Raw genomic sequence first — 13,473 nt, forward strand, 5'->3', positions numbered from 1 at the left:
CACTTTTACACTGTTGGTGGGAGTGTAAAATAATTCAACCATTGTGGAAGACAGTGTGGTGATTCTTCAAGGATCTAGAACTAGAAATGCCACTTGACTCAGCAATCCGATTACTGGGTATATACCCAACCCAGTGGATTATAAATCATTCTACTATAAAGACATGCACACGTATGTTTATTGCGGCACTATCCACAATAGCAAAGACTTGGAACCAACCCAAATGCCCATCAATGATAGAGTGGATAAAGAAAATGTGGCACATATACACCATGGAATACTATGCAGCCATAAAAAAGGATGAGTTCATGTCCTTTGCAGGGACATGGATGAAGCTGTAAACCATCATTCTCAGCAAACTAACACAGGAACAGAAAACCAAACACCACATGTTCTCACTCGTAAGTGGGAGTTGAACAATGAGAGCACATGGACACAGGGAGGGGAACACCACACATGGGGGCCTGTTGGGGGGTGGGGGGCTGGGGAGGGATAGCATTAAGAGAAATACCTAATGTAGGTGACGGGTTGATGGGTGTAGCAAACCACCATGGCACATGTATACCTATGTAACAAACCTGCATGTTCTGCACATGTACCCCAGAATCTAAAGTATAAAAAATAAAAAAAAACCTAAAAGATTCAAAGAAACTAGTTAAAAGGCAATAGCAGTCATCCAAGCCAAGTGTTGATAACTTATACTAAGGTGGTAGCAGTAGACATGCTCAGTGGGGAAGTATGTTTCACCTGTCCCCAGTCTTCCAGTTATCTGGGCTCAAATAAATACAAAGACAAGAAAATGTAAATAAATTGATAACGAGGAGAAGCTCAGCTCTCTCTCTACTGTTTCCAAGGAGCTCCAGAGAGGAACTTACATTTTCCCGGTGATCTCGCTCACCCTCGCTCCTGTTCCTTGCTCTAAACTCTGTACTTGATTCTCTGTTCAGCTTGCTCTGAATGTGACCTTCCCGTGCTAATACAAGTCTAGGCGGTGCTAATACAAGTCTAAGGAAGTAGTAAAGCTTCACTGAAGACTAGGGAAAAGGTAACAAAAAACCAGAGTGTGAAAGAGAAAACAACCTTTACTTCATCATCCAACAAGCCTGTTGGCAAAGATCACTTTGGCCATTTCCTCCTCTCTCCTTTTCCTCCAGTTCCAGGGTCCAAACTCCTTTTCTTGAGTTTCAAAGAGAAAATGTAAAAGTCTCCCACCTTCTTACTCAGAGCCAGTTAGTGTTACTGCCCTCTTTCTCTTGACCTTACATCCAGACGCAGCTGGGGCTTTGCCTTCTAGAAGTACATGGCCCCAAAACAGAAGGATACATTTTCCTTGGTCGAGTCCCTTTAACATGAAATCATCTGAAATTAGGTTTTTAAAGAGAATTTTCTTTTTCCCACATTGGTATGACCTCATTTAATCCTCATATGAAGTGGATGTTGTGAAGCAGAAAAGAGAAGCTAAGAGAGGTGGCAGAGTAAGTTGCTCCAAATTATATAACAAGATCAAGAGAAGATTCAAAACTGAATCCAGCTGAAACCCTGGACCCATCACCACCAGCCTACACCACCTCCCCTGCAGAGATGGGCCCAAGGGCAAGGTCATTATTATCTCCTCACAGCACCACCACCTACTCCCTCTCCCTTTTGGAAAGCCACTTTTCACCTTGATGACTAGAAACTCAATAATAAATTTTGCAGAAATTGTATAACCAAAACCGCATTCTAATTTAGTGCCATTTTTCCTCTTAAGGTTGTTATTGTTGTTTTCTCTAAAGGACAATTATCTGTGTGCCCAGGAGCTGGTAAGTCACTCAAATTTATTCTATTTCAATAAAAAGCAATAGTCGGCCGGGCGCGGTGGCTCACGCCTGTAATCCCAGCACTTTGGGAGGCCGAGGCGGGCGGATCACGAGGTCAGGAGATCGAGACCACGGTGAAACCCCGTCTCTACTAAAAATACAAAAAATTAGCCGGGCGCAGTGGCGGGCGCCTGTAGTCCCAGCTACTCGGGAGGCTGAGGCAGGAGAATGGCGTGAACCCGGAAGGCGGAGCTTGCAGTGAGCGGAGATCGCGCCACAGCACTCCCGCCTGGGCGACAGAACGAGACTCCGTCTCAAAAAAAAAAAAAAAAAAAAAAGCAATAGTCACCTATGGAGATCCCAGGTGAAATTGTAACAGAATTCTTTGAATTCTCCTAAACAAGGAAGAGACGGTCAGAGTTCAGAACACTTCCTCTAAGTAGGCAAGGATATACTAGCATCTTAGTGGGAAATAGAAAACAAAAAATTGCAAAGGCTGTGGTGGTGGTGATAATGGTAAGAAGAAGAAAGAAGAAGGAGAAGGAGAAGGAAGAAAGGGAGGAGGAGAGGGAGAGGTAGGGGGAGGGGGAGGGGGAGGAATCATCAACATTTATTGTCACTTGGTGCAAGCAGGAGGAGGAAAAGTCATCAACATTTACTGTCATTTGGTGCCATGCACTGCACCAAGCACTTTACATTCATTGACTCATTTAACTCTCACATCAACTCTGTGAAGTTGTTCCTACTGGTATCCCCATTTTACTGCTGAAGAAACTGAGTCTCAGACAAATTTACCAACTTGCCCAAGATCACAGAGTCTAGATGTTTTATTTTTAAAACATATGAACTTCTGGAGCATTTTAGTAAGATAACCTGGACAGAAACATGTGAAGACTGGTCCTCAGAGCCTCTTCCAGATAACAGAACATCTAGAAAAGACAACATCAATTGGGTGTTACTGAGAATTGGTGTATGAACCAGATGCCACTGCCACACCTACTGATAAATTAATTAGGGCAGCAATTAATTTAGTTTTGGTTGCACCGATTTAATCATTGAATATTTATTCAAGTCATCACAGTGGAATGAATTTGGTTGATGCATTCATTTACTAATTTATTAATTCATTGATTAGCTGACACATGCCAGCTACTGCAAGGCACTGAGGATACAAAGATTCATGAGACTGTACCTGTCTTCAGGTCGTTCAGAGCCTAGAACGGGACCATAGGCTTGGCAGGGTGGGATTTTTCCTGTCTCTGCCCTCTCAAGCTGGCACCTTCAAGGCTAAGGTAATAGAAGGAGTCCTTGTGTATTGCCACAGAAATGCATTCTTAGCATCAGAGAAAGGATTGTGTCAGCAAGTGTGTAACCTTCCCCATTTGTTTTTCAGACTTTGTATTCTGAGGTCAGACCTATACGGTGCTTCCTTTTTCCTTTCTTTTCCGTTTTTAGGAGCAGAAGCTACCTTTCCTGCGTATCCAACAGGAGACCTGTGTGGAGCATAAAATGGAGACAGATGCATGTGGCTGAGACACAGCAGACAGCGAACCTTTGCAGGGGATGGCAGTGAGGATCCAGGAGAAGGGAAGGACCATCCAGGAGGGGAGAGAGGCCTTGAGAGAACTACACTTGGTGCCAGGTATTGGGGGGTGGCCAGGAAGGTGGTCCTGGGGAAGGAGCTGTACCCACAAATGTTTTACATCCAGCAAAATAACATTGTCCATCTTATTAAATAAATGTTGCTTCTTTGAATTGTATTGAATTTGTGGTGTTTAAAATTTAATTTGTAAACGTATTTTGGTTTAAACGTATCAGTAATAAATCTGATTTATAAATAAAAATATACTTGACTTTATATATACAGATAGTCTTCCCTTATCTGTAGTTTTGCTGACCGACAGACAACTGAAGTCCAAAAATATTATACACAATAAGACATTGAGAGAGACACCACATTCACAGAACTTTTATTGTAGTAAATTGTTATAATTGTTCTATTTTTTATTATTCATTTCTTACTGTGCTTAATTTATAAATTAAATTTCATCATAGGTATGTATGTCTAGGAGAAGCTTAATATATATGGGTTCCATACTATCCATGGTTTCAGGTGTCCACTGGGGATCTTGGAACATAACCCTTGCAGGTAAGGGTGCACTACTCAATGTACTAGGATGTGGAAATTTAGTAAAAACAACTCTGGTATTCATAGACTTATTTGAATAATTTTTCCATTTTCAAAATTACAGTATAATTAATATATAGTAAAACGTACCCTCTAGTGTACAGTTCTGTGAATTTCGACAAACATGTATAGTCGTGTGGCCACCGCTGTAATCAAAATGTCAAACGATTTCATCATCCCAAAAATGTCCCCCATGCTACTTTGTGGTTAACCCTGCCTATCACCCTGGCTCCTGGCAACCACTGATATGTTTTCTGTCTCTATAGTTTTGCCTTCATAAGAATGTCACATTAATGGACTTGCACATTATGTAGCCTTCTAAAAAACGAAAAAATCTTTGTTGAGGTATAACTGACATCTAGTAAATTGCACATATTTAAGGATACAATTTGGTGGTAAGTTTTGACATATGTAAACACTCATGAAACCATCATCACTATAAAGATAATGAATATATCCATCATTCCAGAATGTTTCCTCACACCCCTTTGTAATCCCAGCTCCCATATTTCCCTGGTCTCCCATTCCCACTAATCTGCTTTCTGTGACTATAGATTACTTGGCATTTTCTAGAATTTCATATAAATGGGATTATTCGGTATGCAATCTTTTTTGTCTGGCTTACATTCAGCATAATAATTTTGATATTCATGTGTCTTGTGTATCAATAGTTTGTTCCTTCTTACGGCAGAGTAGTATTCCATTGTAGGGACATAACACAATTTGTTTGTACTTGCATGTGCTAAGGGACATTTTTTTTTTTTTTTTTTTCAGTTGTGGACTATTGTAAATAAAGCTCCTATGAACATTTGTGTACAAGTCTTTGATTGGGCTTTTTTCACTTGGGTAAATACCTAGTAATGAAATGGCTGGGTCATACAATAGGCACAGGTTGAACTTTTTGAGAAGCTACTTATTATTTCCCTAATAACTAATGCTGTTGAGCATCTTCTCATGTGCTTATTTGTCCTCTGTATATCTACTTTGTTGAAATGTCTGTTCAGATCTTTTGCCTTTTTTTTTTCTTTGAGACAGGGTCTCTGTCTGTCACCCAGGTTGGAGTGTGGTGGCACGATCTTGGCTCACTGCAACCTCCCCTTCCTGGGCTCAAGCAGTCCTCCCACCTTAGCCTCCTGAGTAGCTGGGGCCACAGGTGCATGCCACCATACCCGGCTAATTTTTTCTATTTTTTGTACAGACAGGGTTTTGCCATGTTGCCCAGGCTGGTCTCAAACTCCTGGACTCAAGCAATCTGCCCACCTCATCCTCCCAAAGTGTTGGGATTACAGGTGTGAGCCACAGCACACTGTTCTATTTTTTTAATTGAGTTATTTTGTGATTTTTAGATATAAGTTCTTTATAACATATGTGATTTGCAAGTATTATTTGTTCCAATGTGTGGCTTATCTTTTGATTTTCTTATACACATCTTTCAAAGAGCAGAAGTAAAATAGCTCCCCCTCATCCAGGAGGAATACATTTCAAGACTCCCAGTGGATATCTGGAATGGTGGATAGTACTGAACCTTACATACTATGTTTTTTTCCTATATATAATACCTACGATCAAGTTTAATTTATAAATTAGGCATAGTAAGAGATTAACAATAATAAATCAGAACAATTATAATAAAATGCTTCTATAAGTTATGTGAATGTGGTCTCTCTCTATCTCAAACATCTTACTGTACGTAACAATTTTGGACCATGGTATTCACTGCGGGTAATGAAACCACAGATAGTGAACTACAGATAAGAGGAGACTACCATACTTAATTTTTATGAAGTTTAATTTTTTTTCTTCTTTTATGGCTCAAATTTTGGTTATACAGCTAACAAATCTTTGCCTAACCCAAAGTCACAAAGATTTTCTTCCGTGTTATCTTAAGAACTTTTATAGTTTCAAGTTTTACAGTTAGGTCTATATTCCATTTTTAGTTATTTTTGTATAGGTTACAAGATACAGAACAAGGTTCTTTAAAAATAGTTTGGGTGAACTCAAGTTTCAGAAACATTATAATGTTTTCTCAAGGCGCTTGGTTGAAAAGGGAAGGGAAGAATCAGGTAGTATCAAGAAGGAGGTATAACATTAAGAGAGTCTAGGATTTTATTTTTTTTATACAGCGGAAAAGTTGGAAATGTCTTAGATCACATAGACCACTCGAGGGGAAGAGATTGAAAAACCAATAAAAAAGATTCTCCTCATTACAATGGAAGCTCAACTTTGACCATCTTAATTATGATGACTACATTCCCAGCATCAGCACAGTGGCATGCATATAGTAGGTGTTCCATAAAATGTTATGGAAGGAGAAAAACAAGGCATGAATGCAAAAGGAAATGGAACTAAGAGTATAGTTATGGAAGGAGACTTGAATCAGCCTCAGTGACTAGAGAGAACAAACTCCCAGAAAATGAGCAAACGGAGATAAAATGGTAGAGAAGTCCAGGAGTTCACACCGCATAGCCTTTATCATCTTTTAAATTATGAAGCAAGGCTGTCTGCTGGGGATGGGGAAAGGAATATGGAGGAGACCTGAGGAGTCCGCAGCAATACCCCATGCGGGCAGGGAGGAAGAGCATCCACTGTGTGCTGAGTTAGGTGTTTCAGGAGACACTGTGCAAGATGGGATTCCCTACCATTCAGCCTTAAAAAAGAAGGAAATGCTGTCATTTGCAACAACACAGATGAACCTGGAGAACACTACACTAAGTGAAATCAGCCAGGCACATAAAGAGGACTACCACATGATCTCACTCATATGTGAACACTCTATTTAAGGGTGTTGCTACTTTGCAGGGCCAAGATCAGTGGTACCAAAATTTGAGAAATGGGAAAGAAGGAGGCAGGAGGTGGAGGGTAGGGAAGATGAATTCACTTTCTGACACACACATTACCTTTCAGACATCATCTGAACAATCACACAGGCAGCATGAATCTGTAGGTTACTAGGGTCTAAATAAACACTGAAAGGTCAAGGATGGAGAGGGAAGTTTGGTAAAACCCTGAGTGACTTGGGGTAGCAACAAGTGGGGGCATGTGATAAGGAATGTCCCACAATACAGAGGTGAAAGAGCAGTAGGCACAAATAAGAAAAGAAGAAAACAAACCTACCCTAATAGAAGAACCAAGCTTGCTACTGACATCTAATAAAAAGTGGAGATGCCCTGGCACTGACCTATTTCTTACAGGCCTTTAGGCTATTTCAAAAGTATGTATGTCAGGAATTTGATTACTAGAAGCAGAAATACTTACCTGTGATATATTTCTAACACCACATAAGCTATTTGTTCATAAATCTGTCCCACCAGATTAAGCAACTGGCAACATACATGGTTTCATTCTCTACATCCCTGACTGCTAGCAGTTTCTAAGTCAGAGTAGCTACTCAAATGTCTACTGACTTTTATTTTGCTATAAATAAAATTTTGCTATTATACATAAGAAGCCAAATGACACAATTTTGGACTCCCTAAGGGGGATGGGGTGAGGAGATACATACAGCATCAAAAGAATCATTTGTAGCTAAAATATTGTCCTCAGAAAACTGGACATGCACTTACTGATTTTTGCCCTGTTGATTGGTCCATTGAACGCTGTATAGTTCACTTGCGTTTCCATTGAGCCAAGGAGGGTAGGAACTCTTGACTGCTTTCAGGCCACTGGGGCTCCTGCATTTATATGCTTGACAGTCTTACACTGCGAGGAAACAGACAACTAACAAATGCCTCTGAAACTCATTTCTTATATGTCTGAAATGAAACGAGCAACGTAGGTTTAAATTCCAGACACCCAAATAATTTTTTTACCCCAAAAGATCTATCTCCAAGGAACTTCTCCAAAAAGTAAAGTAAAATTTTTAACAGTGTCACCTTTTTCTGAATTCCCAATATGGGCTATGCAAGCTGGTATAGCTACACTTTGAAGAAACAAATATATTGAAAAGAAAAAAAAGCACAAGGTTTCCTTTGACTTTAATGAGTAGACTTTCAGCTCATTTCCTTTAAAATGCTGCCCCTGAATTGCAAATTACTTCATGGTCTTTATTTAGTGAGCTCTCTTCCTAGACTGACAGAGCCAGCTGCAGAATTGTACTGTCTATGGAAATAATATCATCAGCACTTTGTCGCTGAATAAGACCACAATCATTACATTTGGCTTCTTTTCACACAGGAGGAACTGAATATATGCTTGTTTACAGCAACAATATTCAGAAAGTTATCACTTTTGTACTCTATCAGTTGGTAACTTAAAATCAAAGGAAAATTTAGCATGAAATACCTGAATCCCTTTTTAAGGTCATTTTAATTTTAGTACATTACTAATACTTAAACTATTAGCTTTTTTTCTAGGATTCAAAGAGCATATTAATTAATTTTGATATTCAGTCAGAGTAGAAAGTATTAAGAAATCAATTTATATTCATTATACATATTTATATTTCTTATCTTTTTCTGTTCCAACTTAGAAATAAAATTTTTGAGAACCACATTCACTGTGAAAAATGTTGTATAAATTTATGTGACATATTTTATTCAAGTGAAGTTCTTATCTAGCAAATATTAGAAAAGTAGCCCATTAAACTATAAATAATTTTAATTTGGCTCTCACCAAGTATGAAAATAAGCAAGTAATTTTATAATTTGAAAAAAGATTTTACATTTTCTTTACAAAATAACCACCACTCTCTCTGACACTATTTAATAAAAGCTTTATTAAAATGAAGCCAAAACATTAACACCATTTATATGTACAAGACCATTAAACATTTTTTCTATCTTTAATAAATGTTCTTCCATTTTTGTCATTTATTACTTTCCTAATTTGAAAAATTGATTAATGTGAAGAAACATTACTAAATTAAACAAATGTAAAGTTTAAATTTAATTATTAAATGGTTGAGTTTAAAGTTGACAGCTAGTTTAAGGTAGAAGACCTTCATAATCCAATTACTTTTACTTGGTTTCAGAACTACCCCTAGGCAAATTCTCCTAAAATAGAAACTACATGCAAGAAAAACACAAGCGATGTTCATCATTTAAGATAAACTTTAAAAGTTAAATTTTTAAAATTAATTTTAATAAAAATTGGTTTGTTACCAGTTAGCTATATAACCTAGAGCCAATCAATCTCTGTGTGTTTTCTCTTTTGTTAAATGTAGAACTTAATTCTTGCTCTATATACCTCTCAGGATTGTGAGAATAAAGATGATACATGTCAAATCAACTTGGAAATTATGGCACTATTGTAGAGGTGGCAAGAAATGGGAAATACTTTAGCAGACATATTGGACTAAGTTCCCAGCCAAGAACCAAATAATTTAAAAAATATTTAAGTGCAAAGAAACCACTAAGGCAACATGTAACCTCCTTTTACTAACAAATAGATGTAGTAATAAGACAAATCCAGGCATATAGTACTTACATCACTTTATGATAATACATGCTAAGGAAAAGTAAAATTGGCCAAACCCTGAAAGTTTCTGTTCTGTATATGTATGGACACCCCCAATGCATGCCATGCTGGTAGTGGGGATATGGAGCTGAATGGGATCGAGTCACTGCCCTCCAGAGGCTTGCAGTCTGGAACGACCTGCTGAAAATAGACAAAAATCCCGCACTATGGCAACAGAGAAAGACGTGCTGAACCGTCTTCCAGATCAGGCCAGGCCTCCCAGGCTGATGGGAGAGCTCAGTCTTCAAGGATATGTCAAAGATTGCTATGTGAGAAAAGGAAGGAAAAGGCATTCTAGGTGGAAGGAACAGGCTAGATCAAGGCATGAGACAGAAAGAATAGATGTTTAGAATACATTTAATTATAATAACCAGTATTCAATATTTTAGAAATTGTTAAAAAGACAATCAGCAAAACCACTATTTATTGAGGTTCCAAAATATATTGGGCTTGTGTTAAGGGCTCTGATACATACTTAGTTAAAAATATAATGAAACTAAGGTCCAGGGATGTTACTTAGCTTGCTGATAATGTTGTGGGCATATTAATAGGGTGTCTTTTTTTCACAGTATCAGGCTGATGATTTTTCTTGGCACCATATCCTACTTACAGTTAGCTTTCTAAGAAAAAGATCAGGTAAAGTTAAAACATTTTTAAAGTTCTCCAGTTTGATTCTTATCTGTAGGCACATCTTTGTAATAAACGTAAAATAGCAGCATTCTTTACATGGCATAAGGTAGTTACAATTCCTTCCAAAGGAATAAGAACTAGGAAATTCCTGGGAATAGTCATTATAGGTCAATTTGACTCAACCAATTGTCTACTGTTTCTGAAGAACTTTTAAAAAGCTTTATTGCTAATCATTCTTCCCTGCCACTTGCCTTCTTACCTCAAATGTAAAAACTGAGTAACAAAAACTTTAAGGCAAAGCTCTTATTTTACAATATCATTTCAGGATTAAAAACAACAACATGAATTGAGTCACAACTATGTGCTTGGATCATAGAACTAGTTTACTTTCTTAATTGAATTAACATAACAGCATCATTTTAAGATTTGTGTAACTAGAGCAGGGTATGGTGGTGCAGGCCTGTAGTCCCAGCTATTCAGGAGGCTCAGGCAGGAGGATCACTTGTACTGAGGAGTTGAAGTCCAGCCTGGGCAACACAGTCAGACCTTGTCTCTAAAACTAAAATAAATAAATAAATAAATAAATAAATAAATAAATAAATAAATAAATATGTGTGTACCTGAGGCAAAGAACAGGCAGAAATACTGATGATCATTCTGCCAAGTTGGCAAAGAAGCCTTGCCCTTTTTTTTTCTATTAGCAGTACTTAATGTTCACTACATTCATTCATTCACGAGTTATTTTTTATATAAAGGTCATTAATGACATTAAATTGCCTATTATAATGGCCCAATGTAAACATCAGCAGTTTGTCAGCAAGAAAAGCTTCATTATTCACAAATGCTGGTCAAGTCTTGCTACTAATTCATTTGATGACAGAATGACCAACTGCCCCTTAAGCTGACAACCCTTCCCCTCCACTGCTATCACTGCAAAAACACATTGTCCCCTATCTGAACATGATAACCGAGTGTCGTTTCTGGGTAACACTGAGGTGATTCAAAACACACTTCATAATTAACAATGTGAATTATTTCACATCATCCCATCTCTTTATCATACCGTCATTCTTCCAGGCAGCAAGCTCCAACTGCTCTGTGCCTCCTTCCTCTCTTTCTCCTCATATCTAGTTACCACAACTCCTCTTCTGCCCAGACCAGTCCTGCAGGAATGTTTTTCTTCTTCTTATCCCCCTTTTTCATGAATTAAAAAAAAAATTATTTTTAGTTGACAAATTGTATGTATTTATGGGGTATAATGTGGTATTTTGATATGCTGGAGTAATTATTAATAGTGCCTTCTTTGACTCTTAAGCATGTCCCATTTTGGCTGATAACTTATATGGTTACTTACCCATATTCCATTAGATATCAAGTTTATCTTTGCCTTCTCTGCCTTGTTTCAGGCCTTCATTTTCTTTCACCAGGGATAATATAATAATCTATTTATGATGTTATCCCCAGTTTCCTCTCTTTTCAACCCATCTTTTAGAAGTTGCCACAATAACTTTCATTTTAAGAGGCTGGCCTTAAACTGTTATTCCCAGGCCAGGTGCAGTGACTCATGCCTGTAATCCCAGCACTTTCGGAGGCCCAGGTGAGAGGATCATTTGAGTCTAAGAGTTTGAGACCATCTTGGGCAACATAGCAAGACCACATCTCTAAGAAAAAAAAAAAAAAATTAGCCAGGCGTGGTGGTATGTGCCTGTAGTCCCAGCTACTTGGGAGGCTGAGGTGTGATGATCACTTGAGCCCAGAAGGTCAAGGATGCAAAGAGCCATGATCATGCTACTGCACTCCAGCCTGGGAAACACAGCAAGATCCTGTCTTAAAACAAAATAAAACAAGCAAACCTTCAGTGGTTCCCCAATGCCTACTACTACTGCCACCTCACTTTAGTCTATAAGGACTGTTGACTCTTGCTATCACTGTCTCTCTTCATATAGCCTCCAGTACACCTGATGTGAACTATTCACTTTACATTTGGAGTGGGTTTTTGTTTGTCTGTTTGTTTGTTTGTTTGAGATAGTCTCATGGTCCCCTGGGCTGGAATGCAGTGTTGCATGTTGCAATCATGGCTCACTGTAGCCTCAACCTCCCAAGATCAAGTGATCTTCCCACCTCAGCCTCCCAAGTAGCTGAGACAACAGGCACATGCCACCATGCCTATTTTTTTTGTTTGTTTTTTGTAGAGATGCGGGTCTCACTATGTTGCCCAGGCTGGTCTCAAACTCTTGGGCTCAGGTTCTCCTCCTGCCTGGGCCTCCCAAAGTGCTGACATTACAGGTGTGAGCCACCACACCCAGCCCCTTTGGGTGTTTTTAAATATAACTTTGGCATTTATAACAAATGCAACCACATGTTAGATCTTATTAGAAGTACTAAACTTTTAGGACACCAGATCAGGTTGAAGAGTATTTTGAGTACAGCAGTTAAACCATTTAAAAAGACCATTACCATTTACAACTAATTCTCTGCGGGCATTTGATGTCATTACTACACAGCCAAAAAGAACCTATCCCACAAACCAACCAACCACCAAACCATCTAAAGCAAAACACATAATATCAAGGCATAAGCTAAAAAGGTAATCTCTTTACATCTGCAATAATTGGTAAGAACTCTGTCAAAATCAGACTTGCACTGAAGGTTGCAAATGGCATTGCATCAGTGAATTTTTACCAATCACCTTTTGTTGTTGTTGTTGTTGTTGTTTTTTAATTTCAACTTTTATTTTAATTTCAGGGGATTTATGTGCAGGTTGTTACCTGAGTGTATTGCATGAAGCTGAGGTATGGGGCATAAATGATCCCATCACCGAGGCACTGAGCATAGTACAATAAAGCTTTTCAACCTTTGGCCCCCTTTCCCTTACCCCTCTAATAGTCCCCAATATTGCTGCCATCTTTATGTTCATGAGTACCCAATGTTTAGCTCCCACTTATAAGTCAGAACATGTGGTATTTGGTTTTCTGTTTCTATGTTAATTCGCTTAGGATAACAACCTCCAGCCACATTGCAAAGGATATTATTTTGTTCCTTTTTATGGCTGCATAGTATTCCACTTACCAATCATCTTGATCTCTGAACTGAGAGCTTCATCCCATTTACTTAATACAACTTTTGTATTCCTTCCCATCCCTATTAGATGATTCTTTAAAGACAAAATGATTCAGCAATGTTTTCTGATTATTGGTATAATGCGCTCAATATAGAATATCTGTAACATACAAAATCGTAATCAGAAAAATACTGGTTGTAATGTTGCCGCCTACAACTCCTAATGTTATAATACATTTCTTTCTTCTTTTTTTTTTTTTTAAAGACATAGTCTCACTCTGACACCTAGGCTGGAGTGCAAACACAGCTCGCCGCAGCCTTGAACTCCTGGGCTCAAGTGAT

The 13,473-nt window shown here is 38.3% G+C and overlaps 1 annotated feature.

The window, feature by feature from the left end:
• Window positions 4,038-4,332: an enhancer, noted in NCBI's record as "tiled region #4301; K562 Activating DNase matched - State 5:Enh". NCBI's record gives its function as "activates a minimal TATA promoter and a strong SV40 promoter by Sharpr-MPRA in K562 cells {active_cell/tissue: K562}" and the evidence as "EXISTENCE:reporter gene assay evidence [ECO:0000049][PMID:27701403]".

The sequence above is a fragment of the Homo sapiens genome, chromosome 2, assembly GCF_000001405.40.
Source record: "Homo sapiens chromosome 2, GRCh38.p14 Primary Assembly".
Lineage (NCBI taxonomy): Eukaryota > Metazoa > Chordata > Mammalia > Primates > Hominidae > Homo > Homo sapiens.